Source organism: Homo sapiens, chromosome 11, assembly GCF_000001405.40.
Source record: "Homo sapiens chromosome 11, GRCh38.p14 Primary Assembly".
Taxonomy (NCBI): Eukaryota; Metazoa; Chordata; class Mammalia; order Primates; family Hominidae; genus Homo; species Homo sapiens.
The window spans coordinates 49116020-49142975 of NC_000011.10; the positions used below are offsets into that span (position 1 = coordinate 49116020).

The 26956-nt window shown below is 36.9% G+C and overlaps 2 pseudogenes; both read right to left on the reverse strand.

The window, feature by feature from the left end:
* TRIM77BP (tripartite motif containing 77B, pseudogene) lies at positions 991-8551 on the reverse strand (annotated as a pseudogene).
* On the reverse strand, positions 17788-18800 carry UBTFL9 (UBTF like 9 (pseudogene); annotated as a pseudogene).

Genomic DNA, 26956 nt, shown 5'->3' on the forward strand with positions numbered 1-26956 from the left:
AAAAGACAAGACCCAAGTGTATTTGGTCTTGAGAGATCCATCTCATATATAATGACATCCAAAGGCTCAAAGTAAAGGATGGAGAAAGATCTACCATGCAAATAAAAACAAAAAAATGCAGGAGCATCTATTCTTACATAAGATAAAAAAGACTTTAAACCAAAAACAATAAAGAAGAGCATTACAAAATGATAAAGGTTCAATTGAACAAGAAGGCTTAAGTACCATGGTACCATATCTATGTATCCTTTACGTAATGATATTTCTCAGCCTGTTCTGTCTTGCTAATTATGGCTATACTGTAGTATATTTTTGTTGGTTCTATAGCTTTTGATTTTAATAATTTTACATGTTTATTCATTTAATTATTTACATATTTCTTGAATATCTCTCATATCATCAGACTGTTTCTTATTCCTATAATGAATGAGAAGAACTATCATTGGCATTCCCTTTTTGTAATTTACAAACTTGAAAAAAAGACCCAAATTCTGTTAGGAGTTTTACAGGGGAAATGTATGAGCCATTCTTGACATCTGAGACCTTGTCTAGTTCAGAAAGGTGGGAACTGGTGAAGGGAAAGTTTTATCCAGATGAAGGCAGGGAATAGAGAATTTTAGGCTGACACTGAGTTTTGAATAAGGGCTATCTGGAAGGCAACTTGTCTGTGCTTTAATTTGACTCAGTTAGCTGGGTTTTCATGCTCATGTATTCTTTCACCTCTAGTACGCTTTGATAACAATTTAAAAGAACATGCATCCTAAACAATATAATAAGAGACATTACATCTATTCAAATAAAATAGAAATGACAAATGTACATTATCAACACTTTAAAAAATGATACAATAAATATATATCCAGGAGGTAAAATGAAGTAAAAGGTGATGAGATATGACTGATTTTCCCCATTAAGAAAGTAACCAGAATAGGAGCCTCCTCTGCTATTAGAATTCCCAAGGCCTTGGTCAGGTTTGTGACCTGTCCCTGATTATTTAGATCCATGGCAAATGAAAGGTCTGAGAGGAAAATAGAAGATGCGTGAGAGGAAACTACAAATGAGGGAACTTTGGGCAACATTAACAAAGCTCACTACCCCACATTCATAATCCAGGAACACCCTTAGCCAGCCTTGGGGCCTTGGAACATAGTGAGGTAACAGTGGGGAGGTAGAGAAGAGACTGAAATGGTCATCCACTTTAAGACACAGGAGTAGAAAGATACCCTCAGAGTCAAGTCACATGTCATTCCTCTTTGTCCAGGCTTCTCTGCAAAGTCCTGTAACCCAATTACAAGAGTCTCTCACATCCACCTCCCAGTAATGTTTGCCAGAGCTGAGGATCTGAGCTCCCCATGAAGAAGTATACTGTGTACTTGTTGGATTACAGGACATGTCTGTATCATCAAGGCTGCATTGCAAATGCCTCAGGTCTTCGAACAGAAGCTTGTGATTCCTGCATATCTTACGATCCAAGGTGATATACACTGTAGCAAAAGAAAACAGTGAATGCAAAAAACAGTTTAACAGTTCAGAGGTACAGGTGCAGAGGCAGTCTGGCAAATGCTTAACAACCAATCCCTGAAAACAAACAAATAAACAAAAGCAACTGGTTTTGTTTATTAGGAATATTTCCACCTCACTAAGGACAGTTTCAAGTTACCAACAATTTAATAATCAGTCAAAAAATTTCAAAACATTTAACAATTTGCTCTCATGAGTCAGTACTAACTGGCTCCAGAACACCACTCTATCACGAGTGGCATACAGAGTATATCAGAGGAATTATGGAGACAGTTTAGCAACAGCTTCTTGCCCATTTGCAGGGCAAATGAATCTTTAATCAAGCAACTAAGATGAAAGAAAATTTAGAGAAAACATAAAGATGTAGGATGTCAAGCTCTGATTTAATTTTTACTAGACTACTAAAAATTTGCCAGCTTATTCATAAGATGCCAAGAAAACATCAAAATGGCCCTTTATTTAAGCCTCCTTATTAACCAATTTTCACAAAATAAAATAAACATACTAAAAATAATAAAAATATTATTAATTATACTCAAGCTATGACATTGTTACCATTATTAGTCCTAAACAATACCACTTTGCCTAAGATGGGAGGGCTTCACACTTGATCTTAGCCAAAAGGCCAAGAAGTAATGAGGGCTTCACAACTTAAGCAAGCAAAAGTGAAATAAACTGAAAATCTATATGTGCCTTTTTAAAAAGGCGGTTTCTCTCCCAGAATTTCTGGTTTGGACACCATTAAATCAGAATTCTCTTCATCTCATCCCATGGCTGCCTCTCTTCTATATGCCAGACTCACCCTCCATTTCCATTTGTCTGTATAGCCCTCTACACAGTGAAGGGATTTTCTTTCAGACTACTTTGTTGTTGTACCTATTGTTTACAAACTTGTTTTTCTGCTTTTGAGAATCCTGTGGTTTTTCAAATGTATTCCTTAAAAACTTCAATCTTTAGGTAAACATTCGAATAACAACATTAAGATATTTCTAAGAATTGGATCATGTAAATATAACCAGAGTTGAAATGCTTTGAATGAATATGCAGTTTTATATGCTACACTGAAAAATGAATGCTTTATTTATAGCATTCCTCCAGGTCTTTTTTTGAGTGTTTTTTTTTTAAATCACTTAAAATAATCATGTTACGTACTGTATTTCTTATTTGTTTATTTATTCCAGACTTCAGTTAGCTTTTCCTGAATGTTTATTAACAGTTTTAAAATTGGTTATAAAGGTTTCCATATTTACCTGCTTGTTCACTGAAAATAATAATAGAGACAGAGAAGTGAATATAGACTAAAGTGAATATAGGTCACCCATATAAAAATACTTATGTTGGAAACATTAGTGCAGTTCACACTCTCACCTCTGAAGAAGTTAAGCCTTTCTGACATCCCAGTGATGGTCCATGTACTGAGCTGTGGGTTCACAGGCTGAGGCATGGCCAGCCTCAGAAACTCATTCCTGCAAAGAAAAATACCTACTTTTTATTACCAGTCCCAAAGGAATCATTAGCAATCCACTAATAAGATGCTTGATCAGAATCCTCACAATTAGGTTGAAGAGTGTGACTTGAACTCAAGAACTAAGACATATTGCAATTGTAACTGTATTTTATGATGTGCTCTGCTGCTTTTAACACCTCTATGCCAGTAAAGTAGGTTATCTCAGTCATAATTATATCAGTTCTCACCTTTGCAGCTTCCTTAGGTGAGCCATGCAGAAATACTAATTTAATTTCTGAAATCTGATAGCTGTCAAATTTTTGGAACATGCCACCTGCTACATATGGAGCCTCAGCTCTATACTACATTCCTTCTTGGTGATGTTCCCTTTCTCCTATTTTCACCATCTCTCCATCAGCTGCCTCTCTGAGATTATTTGCCTTTCCCATTGACAACCTGGAATAACCTTCAAATAATTAGGATGTAGAAAATTAGAGGCAGGAAAAATAGTTGTCTTATTGAAACTTCTTTCTACATTAGGCCTTGCAATTAAAACTGCTTCCCATCCTTCACTTTCATCTGAAGTAGTCAATATACAAAGCCTGGATGACCTTTGAAAAGAAAGGAATAAATACAGACAGAAATTCCTCACTAAAAGTCGATCCCAGCAGAAACAGCCTTATTATTGTCACAATTACCAGGACTTGGATAGAGGGGCAAACTTACCTTTTCGTTATGTCTCCCAAATCCTATAAAGAGAGAGAGGATTGCTTAGTTTGCAGCACAAAATGGTTCTCTCAATATATCCTAGACATGCAGTCTGAGGATATGCACTGAATTGGAAAACTTAATGTCTTCCACTTTCCTTCTTTGGATAAAGGCATTTTTTCATTTTCTTTTTCTTTATAAATATGAAACCCAGTCTGACATCTACATATAGCTGATAAAATTACACTCTTGATGAAACATAGTCAGATGGACTGAGGTTGAACAAATGGGAAGAGGAAGGGAAGACATTCTGCTGTACAAACATCTGCAACAAGATTGACAGAGGTCCCCACAAAGTTCTTATAAGGATGTGTGGGGCCCAAATTTAGGACTTTAAAACTAAAAGAGTAAATAAAATTCATAAATCTCACACTTTCACATATTGACACATCCTTATACAAAACTGAATCATGTATTCACGAGCTGCTCTGTTGCAACTACTAAGAATCAGTGGGTGTAGTAAGATAATTTTAGAAGAGAATTTTCCTGAATTTGTTACTAGAACCTTTCCAAATAGTTTTCCTTCTCCTCTATGGGACAAGAAAGAGTGAGACTGGGTCTACAGAGGAGTGAAACCTGTCACCATAAGGTCAGGAGAGGCAGAATCTGAATATTTGGAACCGGAAAAGTAATATAGATCAAAAAGGATATAGACTCTAGCGATACGATTCCCAAGCAGGGTGGTGTTCAGCACCCTGACCTCCTTCAGTTTTTACCTGAGACAGGTTCACATCTGCTTTACAGCTCATTTCCTTCAGTTTCTCATACATTTCTCTCAGGAGTACACCCATCTTTGCCATTTTAGTTTGACTTCTCTTGAGTTGCTGAAAAACTAACCTGCCTTCTCTTGCCAGGCTCTCTAAGTGCTTTTTCTCTTCTTCACGGAGGTATTGACACACCTTAGGATATTCAGCGCTAATCATCATGCTCTGCAAATTTATAAAAACCTGTAGTGATATTTGATTAATTAAATCATGTGTCTAAGTGGTTTTATTCTTTCCTTATCAGCTATTCTGCTTTGTTTCATGTTTTGTGCTATTCTATTAAATATAGTTTAATGCCTTTCCACTTCAAATACAGTATAAATCTTCCTTTCTTCCTCCTTCCCTTCCTTCCTTCCATTTCCCTGCATCACTCTACCTACTTTCCCTCAAACCTCCATATTTACTTTTTAAAAATAAAGATAATAAAGATAAATTAAGATCAAATTTATGTTGTCTTATATAATGTTCTAACCTCTTCATCATTATACCTAAATTTTATTCCATTTTTCTCAATACTCCTACTCATAACAATTTACTTCCTCAGGAAAATAGAGAACATAAGATATTGCTGCATCTTTCTAAAGTACCTCCATTTCCAAAACACTCGGTGTTTTCACCAGTGTTTGGCTATGCTTGCCTATTACCCAAGACTACACATCTCTATCCACCCCTTGTCTAGATTACTTTCTTACAATGTTCATTCTTTCCTTCTGCCTGCCTCTGTCTTCCTGTCTCTGTCCCTATTGTTTGCCTACTCTCTCTTTCTGGCTCCATTTCTCTGTCTCATTCTTTCCCTGGCTTGTCTTTGATTTTCTCTGTCTCTGTCTTTCTGTCACTGTGTCTTTATTTCCCCTATCTCTCTTTCACTCAATTATATTATTATTATTATTATTGAGACAAGGTCTCAGTTTGTCACCCAGGCTGGAGTATGGTGGTGCAATCATCGTTCACTGCAGCCTTGAATTCCTGGGCTCAGGAGATCCTCCCACCTCAGCCTCTTGAGTAGCTGCGACTTCAGACACATGTCGCCATGCCAGGCTACTCAATTACTTTTTTTTTTTTTTTGAGACGGAGTCTCCCTCTGTCACCCAGGCTGGAGTGCAGTGGCATGATCTCAGCTCACTGCAACCTCTGCCTCCCGGGTTCAAGTGATTCTCCTGCCTCAGCTTGCCTCCCGAGTAGCTGGGACTACAGGCGCATGCCACCATGCCCAGCTAATTTTTGTATTTTTAGTAGAGACAGGGTTTCACCATGTTGGCCAGGATGGTCTCAATCTCTTGACCTCATGATCTGCCCACCTCGGCCTCCCAAAGTCCTGGGATTACAGGCATGAGCCACCGCGCCTGATCTCAATTACTTTTTCACACAGTTTTTCCCTTCTTTCCACATCACCTTTAAATACGTGCAAATTTTGCAAATTACTTTGGAAAAAAAATTAAAATATTCTTGTCCCAATTACCTCATCTAGCTTCTCTTGCTAAAACATTTCTATCCTTATCAAAGGTAAATTTATTAATCAAATGTGATCAAACTTGCTGTGCTCATGTGTGTGATTAAAGACCCCTTTACCTTTATTCCCTACTCTTTCCTGAACCAAACATTACAACTTACCAAGAACTTCTTTTTTCTAAATCCAAATATTATGCTTTAGTCCTAGAATTCTTTACCTTCCTTCTGCATTTGACACCATTTTCTACTTATTCCTTTTAACCATACCTTGTTTTTCCTGCCACAGAAAAATACATTCTTACAAAGCCACTGATTCATTTCTTCTGCACCTTCTTATCCCTGAAAATGGGTTCTTCTTGGCCAGCATACATTCTACAAACCTGGATTCTTTGTATCCATTCTCTGCTTTATTTTTCCCTGAAGCACTTCACGAACATTATTTATTATAAAGTTTACATTTTAATTTGTAGATTGAATTCCCCCACTAGATTATAGACTCCTAGGGTAAGTGATCTATTTCTTCTTTTGTCCACTTCTGTATCATTTTGTTGGGCTACAGCAGTGAGCAACACATGATAGGACCTCAAGAGAATGCAGGACTCCTCAGAAAATCCATCTGAAATGATCAACAAGATTTTTTTGTTCCCCTTTGGCATTCTCACAGTATCATGTATCAATTATTATTATTCTCTACTGGTCCCTGTTTATATGTCCCCTTCAGAAGTGCTTGAGATCTTTGAGAATAAAAATGTTGTTTAATTTACTTATTCAGTTTTAGGTACTTAATTCATATTTGTGAATGGATTATATAATCCTAATTTCTTACCTAAGCATTCACATTCTAGACCTGGCCATAAGTACATTTATAGCCATATCTCTCATCACTGCCTGACTCTTTTTCATGAATTAATCAAGAGGAGTTACTCACATGTCCAAATAATTTTACTGCTTTTCTAACTTTCAGCTTTCTTATTCCTAAAATCTTCCAACATTATCATCGGTAAATTTCTAAATTTTACTAATACATTAGCATCAGATTGATTTTCACCTAGAAGCTATTTTTTTTTAGCATTTCATGTCTGTTAAGCTGCTGTAGAACCACATTTTTACCTTCATTCTAGTGATCTTGCATGCCATTTTTAGCACATTTCTTGTCACTGCTGATGTATTATTGGTAGATACTGCTTTATTCACAAAAATCAGGATATTTTTAGTTATATATTGGATTCAACATGAAATCTCACACTAAAGATTAAGTTACATTGTAGAGAAACACATGTAGGTCCTTTTTCTGATCATCCTATTCAGGGGACATATGGTTAACTCAAGTTCTTCTCCCACAAGTCACATTTTCTATTCCAAACTGGTTCTGAGAGAAATTAGCTTACTGCTTACATCCCATGTTCCAATTATGTTGGTCTCTCTGTTTAGATTTCTTTGATTTTTCTGTTTTTTTTTCCAGATGGACTTCATTTGAATCAGGAGTTTCTTCTGAAAAACAAAACTATAAATTTGAGCACTAGAAAATAAAATATAGTATATTTCAGATACTTCCAAAAGAGGTACAGACATGGGACAAGTAAAGAGTGCAGAATGCAGACATGCAGGGGCTTTTCTTAAGGGCACTGATTATCAAGTCTGAGAGGTCAATGAAACCAAAGGTAGAATTCCCAAATTTAGAAAACAAGACCCATTATCTTAGAAGTCTGGCACTGAAACTGATACAACCTTGCCAATTTTCAGAAGTCACTCTTATTTTATATTTAATTTTAAAATGCTAGCCCTCAACTTATCTACAGTACTATTGGAGCATACTGACCAGTATTTATTAGAATTTTCTATAATAGATTCACTGCAATCATGACTGTGTTAGCCAATGACTATCATGGAAACTAGTGATTAATATAGAGCTTCTTACACTGAAATACCAGAACCCTAATGTTCATCAACTTTATCATCATTATTCTCCCTCAACCCAAGAGAATTTAAATTTCAGGTGAGCAGGGATGTTTGGTTTCTTCAGTGCTTTATCTTAGTGTCTAGAACAGTGTCTAATTTATGGTCATAAGCAATTCTGTTTGTTTATTGCATAAAATTATTAATAATGATGATGATAAGTATATCTTTCCTTATTACCTGTAGGATTCAGGGTTCTTCATATTTCAAAGTCCAATCAGTAGCATTTACTTACCCTATAGTATTCATCAGCCTCCTTTGTCATATAGTGTTTGTGAGTAGCATGCCTTGGGGATTGAGAGCAGAGAAAACACAGCAGGCTCCTATCAGTTTCACAGATGAGGTTCTTGATTTCCTGGTGCCTCCTACAGATCAGCATGGCAGAGCTTGATAACTGGCAGGAGACTGATTCTCTTGTAGGAATAACTTGTTTCTCAGCAAAAGTAATGCGTTTGAAGTACATTTGCTGTGATATTTCCCTGCGCCCAGGGCAGCAATTAGGAGTTAGTGGATCTTCCCACAAGAGGCAGAGACAGGGACTACAAAATCTGTGCCCACAGCCAATGGTGACAGGGTCTGTCAAATAGACTGTGCAGATCGAGCAGGTGAGCTCACTGGTAGAACACTGTGTGATAGCAGAAGCCATGTTTCTGAGAAAATAAAAGGAAAGTGTCATTCTTTCCCCCAAGGCATATGAAAGGAGCTTAAGACCTTTTTTACTAATTTGTGTATGCACTATAGCATGACAGGCCATGTTTTCTGAAAGACTAAAATAGGATGGAGAGACACAAACAGTGCAACAGATTGATCACATGCCCTCTTTCTTGACAACCTTGGCCTATAGCACTATTTTCCAGTTCCCTAATAGAAATCCAATATTTTTCATATCTGTTATCTCTTCTACAAAAACATAAAAATCACAGGTCCTGGGCTCATCTGTAGCCGCAGGCAGTGGATCATTATTTTGTCCAAAGCTATCAAGATTTCCCCCTTTTTTTCTCTCTCTTTGATTGGTCATCATAAGACATGTACTCCAATTCTGGCTAAGAGAACAAGAAAGTAGACTCGTAGAAGAATTCTGTAAAAGGTGTTCTTGCTACAGAAGAGACACATAGAAGAAACAATTGCTTTTTCTGCCTCTGGACATTATTTGGATGCAATATTTGCTTGTGTAACCATTTTGTGGGCTCATAGTGAACTAATCTAAGACAAAAGCCAATACTCTAAGGAAAACAGAAAGGTGGAAAGAACCTGCATCCTTAATAATACAAAAGAACACTAACTACATAATTCTGGAGAGGCCAACTAATGCAATAGAAGGAATGGTGGACAATCCTCATTTTACAGATGCCATAAAAATAACTGAATCAGGCAAGAATCATTAATGGATAATAAAATAACTAAGTCATAGATTTTGTGAAAGAGCCTATTTACATATCATCAAAGTTCTACCCCACATTAGCTCTATCCACAGTGTTATTGAGGCATAATAGATAAGTGAAAGTATATAATTTAATGTACACAGAGGTAGATGACTAAGGACACAAAACACCTCTGTAGTATTTTTGCCAAAAACATTTTACCTGCATGTAACCATGGGAGGAAATTAGATAAATGCATTTGAAAAACACTATGCAAAAAATAAGGCTGGCCTACTAAAAATAATTTTAATTTCTAAGGAGAAAATGTCTGGAAACAGCTATATAGCAAAGATAACTAAAAGAAATAAAAAATCTAACTCTGATGTAACTATAGTATCGTTGATTTGTACCTGGTTTGAAAAAAGTAACAGCCATTAGGACATTATTAGGACATTCAGGGATTTCATAAAACCTAATAGAGTCTTATGGTTGCAGCTCAGAAATGGAGAAGGATGAAAATACTATTGCCGCCTCCCTGCAAGAAAAAAAGTGCGAGAGAAACTAAAGATTAATGAGGTTTAGTTTGTTTGTTTGTTTTGTAAACCGTTAGAGAACAGAGGTAACAAGACAACTCAATCAGTTCTGGATAGAGACAGGTACAGCACTGAGAAAAACAGGACCCATGCATATGTTTATCTGGGGCAGATTCTACCAAAGTCCACAAAAACAGAAAATAAACCAAATGGTTTTAATTTACTGCTAAAAATCAAAGCTGGGCTAGAGTGAGCGTGCAAAGACCCTTAGGGTCGCAGACATAGAAGAATCCTCACCCAAAGGGCAGACCTTTCCAACAGAAATGCCAAGAGGCTCTCACAGGGAAAACCAGGAAGAATCAAGAGAAATTTTCCCTTCTTGTGGTACTGGCTGGCAGAGAAAAATGGCAGCAAACACATGAAATCAACCAAAATATCCGTCAATGATAGACCAGGTCAAGAAAATGTGGTACATATACACCATGGAATACTACACAGCCATGAAAAGGAACGAGACAATGTCCTTCACAGGGACATGGGTGGAGTTGAAAGCCATTATCCTCAGCAAACTGCAGGATACAGAAAACCAAACACCACATGTTCTCACTTATAAGTGGAAGCTGAGTGATGAAAACACATGAATACATGGTGGGGGACAACACACACTGGGGTCTGTCAAGGGTAGGGGGTGAAAGGAGGGAAAGCATCAGGAAGAATAGCTAATAAATGCTGGGCTTAATGCCTTGGTGATGGGATGATCTGTGCAGCAAACCACCATGGCACACGTTTACCTATGTAACAAACCTGCACATCCTGCACATGTACTTCTTAACTTAAATGTTGAAGAAGAAAAAATACATTTTAAAACATCTTTTAATTCCTAGAAGCTTTGCTCACCATGCATTTTCCCCAAGCACTATATTAAAACTGAAAGTGATTTCACATCAGATCTCTTTCTTCCAGTCTTTGCCTTTCTCAATAAACATAAAAGAACCCTTTCCAGTGAATCTGATGAAATTTTAATTTTCTTAATGTTTCTCCCACTGAAACACAACATTTAAAATAATTTATACCAACTATGTTAATGAATATTAACATAATAGTGACAAAGACTAGTTATGTATCATGGATTAAAATAATATAATGCAATTTATTTTTATGTTATTTTTCATTTTGAAAGTTTTTACAAGTAGCAAAAATATATGTGCACAGTTGAATTGGGAGAATAAAAGTAGACAGGTATCTGTATAATAACCACAGGCTTTTTAATTAACAATAACAAAACTTTTTAACATAAAAAGTCCAGAACCTGTTAAGGCACTCAGGAGGGGGGTCTCCAGGTGCAGAGAGTGGTTCTCATTCCAGTTCTACTCCTTTAAAAGATTTCTGGATAACCACTGCCACCATCAAGGTGACCACAAATGGGGCTTTTCCACATTAATATGCTTGTTGAACTCAGCTTCAATCTATTCTGAAACATAGGAAAGAGATGCAACTGGACCTTTGGTTAAAGGCTTTATTAAAGGCTCAGTGAAAACTACGGAGAAAGAAAAGCAAACAGTAACCAGAAGTCAGGTAGCCTAGTTCATGAAGCTCACTTTTCTCACCTTACAGTTGGTGCTTCTCCTCAAGGAACCTCCTTTGTCTTATCCTGCCTGCCCCACCACACAGAACTGATGCTTTGTAGCTGCCTGCACTGTCCAGATCCAGGAAGAGGAGGAGATGGGAGAGGGCTAAAGTCTTCATTACCAGCTGTGCTTTGTTTGCTCTCTGAGAAGGGATCCTTCTCAGATTAACAGCCAGGCTAATGAGTTAGCCTAGCTGGTGCATCAGTATCACCTGGAAAGCTTCTGAGGCCACAGATTGCTGGGGATTACCCATGGCTATTCTTCATTCAGTAGGTCTGGGGTGGGGCCAGAGAGTTTGAGTGTTAGGCAACTTATAAGAGGTTGCTGCTTGTCCCTGAACCATACTTTGAGAATCTCTGATTTAGCCCAATGTTCATAAAAGATGATATGTTTAGGTTGTAAAAGGATGGACAATTTTAAAAAATCTATTTGGAAAGCACAAAAATAGAAGTCCAGGATGTAAACTTGCCACTGTAGCTTCTTGCGGTTTGTGGTGGGTGAAAAGAATGGTAGGAAATGCATCCCCTTTTGCCCATACAACTACAGCACAGTGGGAAGGCTACTGTGCAGGACTCTTGCTTTTCAGGGTCTAGGAGCTCAAGGAACAAGATATAGACCCAATGTCCAGGGTCCCAGGCAGCCCTAGTTTTAGACATTTCTTTCCTTACCCCAACGTTACAACCAGTAGGTGATCAGGAAATGGGCCCTTACTACAGAGGTTCACAATGTGTGGCTGTGAATATTTTTAAGGTTCATAAAGTCAAAACTATTTTTATAATAATAATACTATTTAGACATTAATTGCCCTTTGAAATTTTATTATCCCATGAGTATACAGGAGATTTTCCCAGGGGCTACATGACATGAAATATCACAAAAGATTGAATAGAGAAGCAGATGTGAGAATCCAGATGACTTCTACTAAGCCAGACATTAAAGGGATTTGTAAATATGTAATCAAAGCCACTCTTTTCTTTATTTTTATGGTTTTGCAAAGTATACTTATTTTTTATAGAAATATTACATTACCAATTATGGTTTTATAATTATTTTAAGTTATTAATAAATAGATATTTAATATTTTTCAGCTTTAATTTCTAATACAGCATATCTTGACATTAAAAAACCCACATCAACAAAAGCTTGTGGAGACTCTCAATTATTTCATCAGCTTAACTGAGGTATAATTTACATACCATAAAATTTACTTAATGTATAGAGTTTAAAGACGTTAATAAATTGCTGTTAAATTCATTTTATGCATGATCACCATATCCACTTTTAGAACACTTTAATTCTTTCAAAAACATCTCTTCTCCCCCTGCTTTTTTTTATACTTAAGTTCTAGGGTGCATGTGCACAACGTGCAGGTTTGTTACATATGTATACATGTGCCATGTTGGTGTGCTGCACCCGTTAACTCGTCATTTACATTAGGTATATCTCCTAATGCTATCCCTCCCCACTTCCCCCACCCCAGGACAGGCCCTGGTGTGTGATGCTCCCCACCCTGTGACCAAATGTTCTCATTGTTCACTTCCCACCTATGAGTGAGAACACGCGGTGTTTGGTTTTCTGTCCTTGCAATAGTTTGCTCAGAATGATGGTTTCCAGCTTCATCCATGTCCCTACAAAGGACATGAACTCATCCTTTTTTATGGCTGCATAGTATTCCATGGTGCACACATATGTTTATTGTGGCACTCTTCTCCCCTTTTATAGTCAATCTCTACTCACATCCCTGTCTTCAAGGAACCGCTGCTCTGTTTCTTGTCTGTAAGATTTCTGTTTTTGTTGTTGCTATTTTTGTCGTTGGTTTGTAAAGAAGAGTCTTTCTTTGTTGCCCATGCTGGCGTGCAGTGGCACTATCACAGCTCACTGTAGCCTCAACCTCCTGGTCTCAAGCAGTTTTCCCTCCTCATCTTCCTGCATAGTTTGTACTTCAAGCAAACACCACCACACCCAGCTAGTTTTTAATTTCTTGTAGAGACAGGGTCTCACTCTGTTTCCCAAGCTGGTCTCACACTCTTGGGCTTAAGTGATCCTCTTGCCTTGGCCTCCCAAACTGCTGGGATTACAGGTGTGAGGCACCCCACCTGACCTGTCTATCAAGTTTTGACTTTTAATAAATATTACACATGTAATCATTCAATATATAATCCTTTGTGTCATTTAATATGTTTTTGAGATTCATCATGATTTTATGTATCTATGATTTGTTCTTTTTTTAACTTTTATTTTTTATAATTTCAACTTTTATTTCAGATTCAGGGAGTAAATGTGCAGGTTCTTTACATGGGTATATTGCGTGATGCTGAGGTTTGGGGTACGAATGATTCCATCACACAGATAGTGATCAATTTATGTATGTCTGAATCAGTGCCTGGAACTTTAAATAGACTCTTATAAATGTCTGTGGATTATATTATTTAAAACGAGCAGCCGTTAAAAATTCACTTTTACTGAAAACATTTCATGAAATAGACCCTTTGATAAAATATTTCTAAATTGACCCTTACATTTTCTTACCTTTCCTTCTACAACCAACTCTACAGCCTTCCATCATGTCTACTCCATTTGATTGTTTAAGTCACCATCCACTTCAACGTTGTTACGTACAATACCCTATCTCTAACCTCCTTTTAATCACTCTCTTTTCAATAATACTGTTGGTTACTTATTTCTTCTTGATTTCCTTTTATTCTTATAACTTCATATTCTGAAAACACTCATTTTTATTAGATTCTCAGACAAAATTTATATTCATCTGACTTCCAGCCTACCTCAGAGAACACCCTTTAGCAGACTTTTTGGAAGTCTCCTTCTTTTCTGTTTCATATCCAACTATTAGACTGTCCAAGTGCTCAGTTTTGCTACCTTTCCCTCCTTGATTATGCTCAAAATTAGTGTCATATGGTGTGATGCTTTAATACCTGATAATGTTACCCAAAGTTATGCTTCACTGATGTATTCATCTATTCAATATTTACTCACTAAATGTGAGTGCAAGGCATTGTTCCAGACTCTAAACTGTTCAGTAAAAATTATAGGGGCCCTTGTTTTGGACTAAGCTCCTGTGCTGGGCCCCAACAGAGCAGACTAAAAACCAAAATGAAGTTTCCCATACTGAAGTTCTACATCACCAAACCAAAACTAAGTCTTCGTTGTTGGGTTGATTTCTGACTGTCCTATTAATAGAAATCAGAAGATAGAGATTATGACAAGTAAATTCCCAAATAGGGTAGTTTCAGTCGGCATGATATTGAGGTTCTCTCTGTTTTAATGTTTACCCCAAAAAGTAACCTGAACTATTCTGATATTAACCAATCAGTTATTTTTCTGTACTCTTTCTCCCTGTCCCTGCCTTACAAGGAACATAACTTTGAGGTGATCAGCCAGTTTTCTGTTCATTGTTTTTGCTTTCTTCAGCTCTGTATATAAAACCAAGCTCTTCTCAGCTTATAAGAACACTTACTCTATTTTTTTTCTTTCTTTTTTTTTTTATTATACTTTAAGTTTTTGGGTACATGTTGTGCACACTTATTCTATTTTATGAAATACAGTGTTGCCAACTTCAGGAATCACAGATAAAGCCAATGAGGATCTTTAAATTAATGATTGTCACTTTGGTTTTTTAACAGAACCAAACAAATGTAATACATATTATGGAGTAGTAAACTATTTTTTTTTGTTTTGTTTTGTTTTGAGACAGAGTCTCGCTCTGTCGCCCAGGCTGGAGTGCAGTGGCACAAGCTCCGCTCACTGCAAGCTCTGCCTCCCGGGTTCACGCCATTCTCCTGCCTCAGCCTCCTGAGTAATTGGGACTACAGCGCCCGCCACCAAGCCCGGCTAATTTTTTGTGTTTTTAGTAGAGACGGGATTTCACCACGTTAGCCAAGATGGTCTCGATCTCCTGACCTCGTGATCTGCCCACCTCGGCCTCCCAAAGTGCCAGGATTACAGGCGTGAGCCACCGTGCCCGGCCATGGAGTAGTAAACTAATATTTGGGCTCCAGATTCTTACATGCACTGGGATAGGTAATGGGCATTTCAAAAATTAGAACTCCCAACTTCCCTGACAAAACCTGCTTACCTTTTTCTAAATGTCAAAATAACTAGGAATCATCTGGATTTCTCTTGTACTTTTACTTTCCATTTCAGGAAATTATCTTGCTTTTACCTCCAAAATATGTGGCAAATTGTCCAGTTTCCTTACTTTTTGTGTATTAAGTACCATTACTGAGCGCATGAAATAATTTGCTGCCAAGAGAACTTTCTTCTGTCTGTATTCATTTGTCTCCCGTTCTCCCATGAAAAAACCCAATAGAGCAAAAGGCAGAGGAAAGAGGAATTCAACCTTTTTATTTTTCCCTGCCTTACTGGTAAGCTAAGATGTGTCATACCATCTCTTGCCATTGCACTAGGATTTACATTATTAGCTGCCCTGGATTTCAGGCCTTCAGATTACGACTAAATTACACCATTAGCTTTTTCCAGAGCTTCTTGTTTAGAGATGATAGGATTGTAGAGCCAATTTCTCATTATAAAATCACATTCTCTCTCACACATACACATGCTCACACACACACATGCTCATTCACACACACACACACACACACACACACACACAAACAGTGCCCTATTGATGCTGTTTCTCTGGAGATTTTTGACAAATACCTTAAGGAAAATTTACATTGATACATAATAAAAGAAATTTGACAAAAATGAATACACATTATGGAATAAAACTGATTAATCCAAATTGGCATTTTATTAATATGTTATTATTTCAAATATTAGCATAATTGTTACAGTTGTAAGTGGTGTAACCATTAGCTTAAAAATTAGAAGCAATACAAAAACATATAACTGCTATTATTTAATATTGCTCTGTATTTTCTAAAAGAACACATAAATAAGGGATTTGAAATATTAAAAATATAAATATTACCATTATTTTCTGGTACAGTTTACCTAGAAAATCACTTATAATTTATTAAGAAATCTAGGAACAAAAACACTAAAATCAATAGATATAAAATGGATGCCACTTCTTCTATGATGCAAACATTAATGAGAACATGAAAACAGAGGAAAGTATGAGAATGCAGTAGCCTTCAACTGACTTTAAAAGATAGCAGTAAACCAAAATAATTAAAGCTATGTGGTATTGGTGAATTCACAGGTGGACCAGGAGAACAGTGTAGTGTGCATATCTACTCCTGTATCTTTCTAGGTATCCATGTATATTTCTGTATCTCCTGAATGATAAAGGTGAGGTGGACTTGCACCTGAGGCAGCAGGAAGAATCTGGAGCTTCCACCCAGGAGAAAAAATACAACAGACACCACTTGGAGCAGCAGTGCCCTGCCCAGTCACAAAACATTGATTCTATGGAGAAGTTTATTCAAGTGAAATAGATACATTTCCATGTTTAATTTCAAGTTTTTGAAATCAGTAAGAAGTCTCTTTGGGAGCTGAATCAGATATACATGTAAAAATATTGCCCCCTACATCACTCTGCCCACACTCAAGCATGGGAATGGCCAAGTCCTTACTTCAGGGAGTGGGGAGAGTGACGGCAGGAGTCTGGCAACATTCTTAAGGCACCTGCCCTAACTCCCACCAGCTACTCTTCACTCTACGTTCAGCACAGGAGTCCTGAGGGACACTTCACAAAGAAGGTGGAGATTACAGACTCAGTGTCCCCCTACCACCTCTTGCTGGCAGAAAATAAGGAAAGAAAAACTTGTTACTTCTGGAATACTCAGTCTAATACCCCATAGCCCAATCATCTCATTGTTTATTCAAAAAACCTCAATTCCATGAACTCCCTCTCTCTGGCTAGTTGTGTATATGGGTGAGGAGGCAATACTGGCTAATACGAATATTTGTTCTCTATGGTTGGTCCCCACTTCCTGGGTTTATGGACCTAATATAGAGTAGTGCACTGCATCAAGTTCCTTGTTTATAACCCGTCCCACTTTGTACAGAGGAGGAGGGGGAGAAAGGAGGGAAGGGAAAAAGCAAGGAAGTAAAAAGGAGCAGGAGGAGGGTCCCCTCCCTTTGACATAGATAACATGGATGGACTTTTGGCTTGGAAGGACTGTCCAACCTTTTAGGGTATTAACCAGGCTCAGGTTGAGCCTGAGTCAGGAGTACCCTGAGGAAGCTGAGCTAGAGCTGCTGCCCTCAGACTAGCCATCTTCATCTTCACTCCCACTGCTAGAGTCGGAGCAGTTACTACTTTCATCCTCTTTCCATCTTCCTTCTTGTTTTCCTAATCCCTGTGAGGAATTATACTTGACCCAAATGGTTTCTAATGGATTTGTTCCTGGACCCAGCAGCCTCTGCTCCTCTTCAAATTCTTCTTTCAGATTCCATTCTGATGGGATGGCAGATCTTTCTATCAAACCTGGTGTTTGGGCCTCCTGTGATGCTCATGTTCTTGTGCTAATTAGAAGTTGACTGTCTATGCAGCATAATTTTTTTGAGACAGACAATTGAGCCAGAGATTCAGGTCTACCTTGCAGTATTTCAGCAACTCCTCAGCATGACTCTTATGTTCCTTAAGGCTCTTCAGAGTATACTGATGGTATCTGCCAGTCTCTATCATGGTCTTACTCAGTGGCACCTGTTGCAGCTTCCTACTCAATCACGAATCTTGATGATACTTTTGGAATCCATTCATGAGGGGCTTCTTGGGCTCTCCATGGAATTGTATCTTTGTGGAAGAGTCATAGTTTTCTGGTTGAGATCTCAATTGCACATTTTCTGAGGCTTTATTGGGATAAGGGGATGTTTTGGATTGGTGCTTCTTGGGCACAACAGAGTTCTTGGAGTTCTGAACTAGATTGGGGGGGTCTTCACTGAGTTGAGAACAGGTTTTCCTCAAACTCCTGTTTGTCATAGAAATCTTGAATACATTTCAACTACCACTTCTCTGGGAGCCTCAGAACATTGGTCAGCTCCTAGTTACTTAGAATACATTATAGGGTTGTGGGAAACAAGTACTTAAGAGCTTCTCGGAGACGTGCTGATGGGTGTTTTTGGTTTTATTTATTTTGTTTTTTTTTTTTTTTTTTTTTGCCTCTTAGGAATTGTTAATATGTTTCTTAGTTTCTAGGATTCATTCTGTCAGAGTGATACTTGTTGAACACATAGGAAATTTCTAGCCACTTGAATATGCATATTACTCCAGTATAATCTTTAAAAGCTATTTTTTCTCAATCCAGCATTAACTGGGTTATTTTGAAATGCTGGATTTCATTAGATGGAAAGTTAGTATTCATGCCTTCCAGAAACCTTAGGAGTTCCTCTTAGGACCATTAGTCTTGGTTTTTAGGTAATGCCATTTCCAGGTGTTTGAGTCATTGATAATGTCCCAGTTCTGCAGACACCTCAGCAGGAACTCAAATGCCTTTACTCTCACAACTCGGAGGATACATTTCAGAGGGTATTATTTCTGAAATTCTTGCTATGTGTGTTATTATGTATTTCTGAGGAGAAGGACAATGAAAGTTCTTCTTTTTCCATGGTTTGAGTAAGAAAAATCACCCCATTTGTGATATGTTGTTTATATAAATAATTTACCGTTCACAATATAAATGAAAAGTTGCCTACTTCTGAATTACAATTTCTTTGTCTTTCATATACTACATGTACAATATTCAAAATCCTCCCCTTCCATCCCAGCCCAGCTTCTGCCAAGTCTTACCAGAGCCTGTCACAAATATAGCTGAATAAGACAAACGCCAGGCCACTCAATCAAGAGGCTTGCCGTAAGAAAAAGATGCTGGAAAAGGGTGGTTAAAAAAAAATGACTAAAATGGACAGGACTTTCCATCTCTATTGCTCTGAGTGTGGTCACTTTCTAAGTGCAGCCCAGATGTGCATGGCAAGAGGTGCAATTGGAAAGCTGGAGATGCAATGAGACAAGCCGAGGAGCTCCTCCAGACATGCATCCAGCTGTTGTTTTCCTTATGGGTAGAACATGAACCTTCAATTCTTCAGGACCCTGTGCATGAGAATGCATGGTTTTTTCCCTTCATATGGCAGGTGTTTCATAAAATTGGAAATGTTCTATTTAAGTCACAGTGCTTTGTATCTTACAGAAAATTCCTCTAATATATATATGTCATTTATTAGTACTTAAACATATAAAGAACTAAGAGCTACAATATCTTTACTAATCTTGTCTTTTCTAGTCTAATGTCTTTGAAACTTATTTCCTCAGATCATTCCCTGAACTATCCTAACTCTTTCAATATAGCATTTTCAGGATAACCTTCTAAGACTATGCTTCACATGAGTCAAATTAAATACAAACAAATAAAATATTTAATAAATCTAGATCTTGCCTGAGGAGTGGGCTAATAAGAAGAACATAACATAGGCCTTCAGGAAAAAAAATATGCAGAAGGGAGAGACAACATAAGACAAAGAGTCAAAAGGAAGGTGAACTTTAGAGAATGAACTTTGGAATATCTAAGAAACATATTTTAGTATTTTTAATTCTCAGTAGAATATAAAAGTATCCAGCTTTTGAATGGCATTAAAATGTTTACCAGAAGAGGAAATAACTCAATAATTATGGTAACTTCAGATAAATGATGTATCAGAAAAATAAAATAATCTAAAAAATTAAGAACATAATTTAAGTTCATATTTGAGAGAGAAGAGAAAATAGCAAAGATATTAGACTTAGAAATGGCTTTTGAAAAATTCTCCTATAATAAATTAAAATATGAATAAAAAACAAAATGGCAAAAAAATAAAAGATTTGAAGTTGATGAGTGCAGAAGATTGAAGAGTCAACTTGAAAGTTACAGAATTTTTCATTTCAAAACTCAGAAAAAATACTATTTCATCGATTTCCTAAGAAAAATTAAAATAATTATTATTTCTGTTATATTAAGTTTGGTTTTAAGGAAAAAGTAATATTCACATAAGAAAGTAGAAAAATGAAGAAATAAATTCCCTACCTCTTGTTTATGGTCACAACTTACTCTCAAATTCTTCAGGGTTAAAAAGTTGCCATCAACCTACAACTATTATGTAAGTGATACTTATGAAAAATAAAAATATGTATATGTAAGATGTATTCTAACTCAGAAAAAGGAGAAATCACACAAAATTGACATTAGAAAAGAGATCTGAAATATTTAGAATCTGAAACTAGTGAGGATGAATTACTGTGTTTCCAATTCTAAAAGGTAGGATGATGTGTGTAAATTCATGGAAACGGAAACACAGTTTTTGTTTGTTTGTTTGTTTGTTTGTTTTTGTTTTTTAATTGTGTGGCTCCTATGGGCCAGGCATTTTTTCAGATTGTATTGAGTTGAAGAATGGCCCTCCAAAATAGATGTCTAAGTCCTAACCCCTGATACCGGTGAAAATGGACTTCTGAAAATAGGTTCTTTGCAGATGTAATTAACTTGATAACCTCCAAAAGAGACCATTCTGGATTTAGGGTGAAACCTAAGTCCAGTGACTGTTATCATTATAGAAAAAAACAAGAGGAAGATTTGAGACAGAGACATCCAGGGTAAGACAGAGGGAGGAAGAGATTGGATTTATACTGCTGCAAGTCAATGAAAGCCAAGGGTTGCCATCAGCCAACAGAAGCTAGCAGAGAGGAAGAAGGTGGATTTCCCCTCAGAGCCTCCAGAGAGAACCAACTCTGTCAAACTCTTAAATTAAATTTCAGATTTTCAGAATTGTGAGATAATAAATTATTGTTTTAAACTCCTCAGTAGTCATTTATTATGGCAACCTTATAAAAATAATACACAAATGTTGGACACTTACCCGATTTTCTTCCTCCGAACTCTATTGGGTGGGTTTATCATTATTATTCCATTACATAGTTGTCCTAGCTTCCCATCAAAAGTTTATATAACTTCCCAAAGTTATGATAATAGTGAAAAGAGTAGGAAAAAATAACAAGAAAATTTTTTAAAGAACATTTAAATAAAATATTTATTTTGTAAATTGAAATACCACTGCAAAATTAAAACTCCAATAAAATATTTAAAAAATAAAATTGAGAAATTAGAGGAATAACTAATGAGCTTTTTAAAAATATGATATTAGCAGCAGAAAAAGAGACAAAGTCTAATTCAGGTGGTTCAACAGATGTTAATGAATGGGCTGCTAACACTATTATCAAAAAGGTGAGGAGAACCAACAAGGGCAAAGCACCCAGCTCCAAAAATGGGGTACACTCTAACCACTTCTAAACCCCAGGGATTAAAAAAACTTGTAGATGAATTTGAGGGACTGATGAATGTGTATGTAAATCTTGAGAAGATATTTTAGTATAGAATTTGAGTATGACTTTTTGATACGGTTACTGAAAGCTGGAAAAATAAAATTTAACTCCAAGAAAAAACAAAACAATGGTAAGGAAAAGAAGATCTAATCATACCATGTCTCAATGCTCAGCTATTTCATTTTACATACAGATTTAATTTTACATACAGACAATAATTTGCACAATGTTCATACAATTTAAAAATTTGTAAGTTACACTGGGAAGATGAGAAAAAAGTGTATTCCACGTATGGGTGAAATCAAGTAGTTAAGAAACTTAATTCTTCACTTCTCATAAAGTCAATGAACATTTTTCTAGATTAAGAAATATTATAATAACCATATTATTTAACATCCTATACAGTAAGATTGAGACTGTTTTGGCACATGTATGAAGATTAAGAAAATCATCCCTTTCTTATCAGAAGTTCACAGATACAAACAAAATATCAACAGAAAAATGCCATTCTGGAGAAACGTGCACATGCTATATGAGCTGACACTAGGAAGCAGTTCTTACACTTTGTCCATTTTTTTATCTGCACGTGTGCATAGAAAAGTTCTTGCCACCTATGGACAGATCAACCTGAGAAAAATGATTATGCACACACAGACACTAAAATTAGTCTCCAAAATCAGTGACCTAAAATTAGTCACCTACAATGCTTTATTTTATTATATTAGAAAACCCCATCCTATCAATCCCTAATACAAAATAATTGATTAGTGTTTCATCAATCTTTGGTAGGCTGCAAACTTTAGTATTAAAAATTTACCTCTCTCTCCTTTTTAGCATCAATGCTCTTGCATTTAGGCAACCTTAATATAAACGGTATCCAACACTGGGAACAGAAGAGCAATATATTCCACAATCATGTCAGATTTACTCTTCAAAGGTCATCCACATTTGGAAATAACGTAAACTCCAAGTTAAAATGACAACTGCTGCCATCTAATAAATTACAGTTTTAAAGTAAATAACTAGACATAATAAAAATTCTTACTTGTGGTGCAGAGTGCAGAAAACCCTCTCATTCCTGGTATTCAGTGTGGTCACCAATGTCACCTTTCCACAACCATGACAAGTTTCTGAATTGCTATTGAGCACTTTAATGACCAAGGCTACAACTTAAAGTTCCAAACATCATAGCACTTTTCACATTCTACAACACAGATTTCCAATTAAGTTTTAAACATCATGCCATAGATAAAACTGCATGATATCTAGAACTTTCCTTCCAGAAATCCACAATTTTCATACACAAGGAAGGAAAAAAAGGAAATAAAAATCATGTAAGTTTATATATTTCAAAGCAATGATAGATATTATACCTGAAAAGGAAACCGAAATTAATTACATAACTTTTATCAACTTGGCACATCAAGGTGACCTGCTTGGAAAGCTCATAAGCCTAGAAATATTTAAATTAATTCATCTTATGGGTTTTTTGTTTTGTTTTGTTTTGTTTTTTTTTTTTGAGACGGAGTCTTGTTCTGTTGCCCATGCTGGAGTGCACTGGCAGGATATCAGCTCACTGCAACCTTCACCTCCCAGATTCAAGTGATTCTCCTGTCTCAGCCTCTCTCAAGTAGCTAGGATTACAAGCCTGTCCCACCACACCTGGCTAATTTTTGTATTTTTAGTAGAGACGGAGTTTCACCCCCTTGGCCAGGCTACTCTTGAACTCCTGAATTCAAGTGATCCTCCCGCCTCAGCCTCCCAAAGTGCCGAGATTAGAGGTGTGAGTCACCACGCCCTGACTTGCATATTTTTTATTTCTAAGGGAAAAAAGTATGCATTCTCCAGCAGGCCTGTAGAAGAGGGCCCTGACTGTTAGAAGGAAAACTAACAAACAGAATGCAATAGCATCAACATCAACAAAATGGATGACCACACAAAAACCCCATCCAAAGGTCACCAACATCAAAGACCAAAGGTTCAAACCAGTTCAAACAGGCTGAAAATTCCGAAAATCAGAACGCCTCTTCTCCTCCAAAGAATCACAACTCCTCGCCAGCAAGGGAACAAAACTGGATGGAGAATGAGTTTGAAGAATTGACAGAAGTAGGCTTCAGAAGGTGGGTAACAACAAACTCTTCTGAGCTAAAAGAGCATGTTCTAACCCAATGCAAGGAAGCTAAGAACCTTGATAAAAGGTTAGAGGAACTGCTAACTAGAATAACCAGTTTAGAGAAGAACACAAATGACCTGATATAGCTGAATACACAGCACGAGAACTTCATGAAGCATTCACAAGTATCAATAGCTGAATCAATCAAGTGGAAGAAAGGATATCAGAGATTGAAGATCAACATAATGAAATGAAGTGTGAAGACAAGATTAGAAAAAAAGAATAAAAGGGAGTGAACAAAGCCTCCAATAAATATGGGACCATGTGAAAAGACCAAACCTATGTCTGATTGGTGTACCTGAAAGTAATGGGGAGAATATAAGCAAGTTGGAAAACACACTTCAGGATATTATTCAGGAGAACTTCCCCAACCTAGCAAGACAGGCCAACATTCAAATTCAGGAAATACAGAGAATACCACAAAGATACTCCTCAAGAAGAGCAGACCCAAGACACATAATCATCAGATTCACCAAGGTTGAAATGAAGGAAAAAAGTGTTAAGGGCAACAGAGAGAAAGGTCGGGTTACCCACAAAGGGAAGCCTATCAGACTAACAGTGGATCTCTCTGCAGAAACCCTGCAAGCCAGAAGAGAGTGGGGGCCAATATTCAACATTTTTAAAGAAAAGAATTTTCAACCGAGAATTTCATATCCAGCCAACTGTGTTTCATAAGTGAAGGAGAAATAAAATCCTTTACGGACAAGCAAATGGTGAGGGATTTTGTCACCACCAGGTCTGCCTTTCAAGAGCTCCTGAAGGAAGCACTAAGTATGGAAAGGAAAAAAGCAGTGTCAGCCACTGCAAAAACATGCCAAATTGTAAAGACCATCAACAATATGAAGAAACTGCATCAACTAATGAGCAAAATAACTAGCTAGCATTATAATGACAGGATCAAATTCACACATAACAATATTACCTTTCAATGTAAACAGCCTAAATGCCCCAATTAAAAGACACAGACTGGCAAATTGGATAACAAGTCAAGACTCATTGGTGTGCTGTATTCAGGAAACCCATCTCAAGTGCAAAGACGCACATAGGCTCCAAATAAAGGGATGGAGAAAGATTTACCAAGCAAATGGAAAGCAAAAAAATAGCAGGGGTTGCAATCCTAGTCTCTGATAAAACAGAGTTTAAACTAACAAGATCAAAAAAGACAAAGAAGGGCATTACATAATGGTAAAGGGATCAATGCAACATGAAGAGCTAACTCTCCTAAACATATATGCACCCAATATAGGATAACCCAGATTCATAAAGCAAGTTCTTAGAGACCTAAAAGGAGACTTAGACTCCCACACAAAAATAATGGAAGACTTTAACACCCCACTGTCAATATTAGACAGATCAGTGAGACAGAAAATTAACAAGGATTTTCAGGACTTGAACTCAATTCTGGACCAAGTGGACCTAAAAGACATCTACAGAACTCTCCACCCCAAATCAACAGAATATACATTCTTCTCAGTACTGCATTGCACTTATTCCAAGGTTGACCACATAATTGGAAGTAAAACACTCCTGAGCAAATGTAAAAGAAAGGAAATCATGACAAACTGTGTCTCAGACCACAGTGCAATCAAATTAGAATTTAGGATTAAGAAGCTCACTCAAAACTGCACAACTACATAGAAACTGAACAACCTGCTCCTGAATGACTACTGGGTAAACAACAAAATTAAGACAGAAATAAATAAGTTCTTTGAAACCAATGAGAACAAAGACACAACATACCAGAATCTCTGGGACACAGCTACAGCAGTGTTTAGAGGGAAATTTATAGCACTAATTGGCCATATGAGAAAGTGGAAAAGATTTAAAATCGATCGATACCCTAACATCACAATTAAAAGACCTAGAGAAGCAAGAGCAAACAAATTCAAAAGCTAGCAGAAGATAAGAAATAACTAAGATCAGAGCAGAACTGAAGGAGATAGAGACATGAAAAACCCTTCAAAAAATCAATGAATCCAAGGGCTGTTTTCTGAAAAGATTAACAAAAGTAGATAGACTGCTAGCCAGAATAATAAAGAAGAAAAGAGAGAAGAATCAAATAGACACAATAAAAAATGATAAAGGGGATATCACCACTGATCACACAGAAATGCAAACTACCATCAGAGAATACTGTAAACACCTCTACACAAATAAACTAGAAAATCTAGAAGAAATTGATAAATTCCTGGACACATACACCCTCCCAAGACTAAACCAGGAAGAAGTGGAATCCTGAATAGACCAATAAAAAGTTCTGAAATTGAGGTAGCAATTAATAGCCTACCAACCAAAAAAAGCCCAGGACCAGATAGATTCACATCCGAATTCTGCCAGAGGTACAAAGAGGAGTTGGTACCATTCCTTCTAAAACTATTCAAAATAACAGAAAAAGAGGGACTCCTCCCTAACTAATTTTATGAGGCCAACATTATCCTGATACCAAAACCTGGCAGATACGCAACAAAAAATGAAAATTTCAGGCCAATATCCCTGATGAACATCAATGCGAAAATCCTCAATAAAATACTGGCAAACCAAATCAAGCAGCACATTAAAAGGCTTATCCACCATGATCAAGTCGGCTTCATCCCTGGGATCCAAGACTGGTTCAACACACGCAAATCAATAAACATAACATATCACATAAACAGAACCAATGACAAAAATTACATGATTATCTCAATAGATACAGAAAAGGCCTTTGATAAAATTCAACACCCTTCATGCTAAAAACAGCCAATAAACTAGGTATTGATGGAAGGTATCTCAAAATAATAAGAGCTATTTATGAGAAACCCACAGACAATATCATACTGAATGGGCAAAACTTGAAGCATTCCCTTTGAAAATGCACAAGGATGACCTCTTTCACCACTCCAATTCATCATAGTATTGGAAGTTCTGGCCAGGGCAATCAGACAAAAGAAAGAAAGAAAGGACATTCAAATAGGAAGACAGGAAGTAAACTTGTCCCTGTTTGCAGATGACGTGATTGTATAGTTAGAAAACCCCATTGTCTCAGCCCCAAATCTCCTTAAGCTGATAAGCAACTTCAGCAAAGTGTGAGGATAAAAAATCAA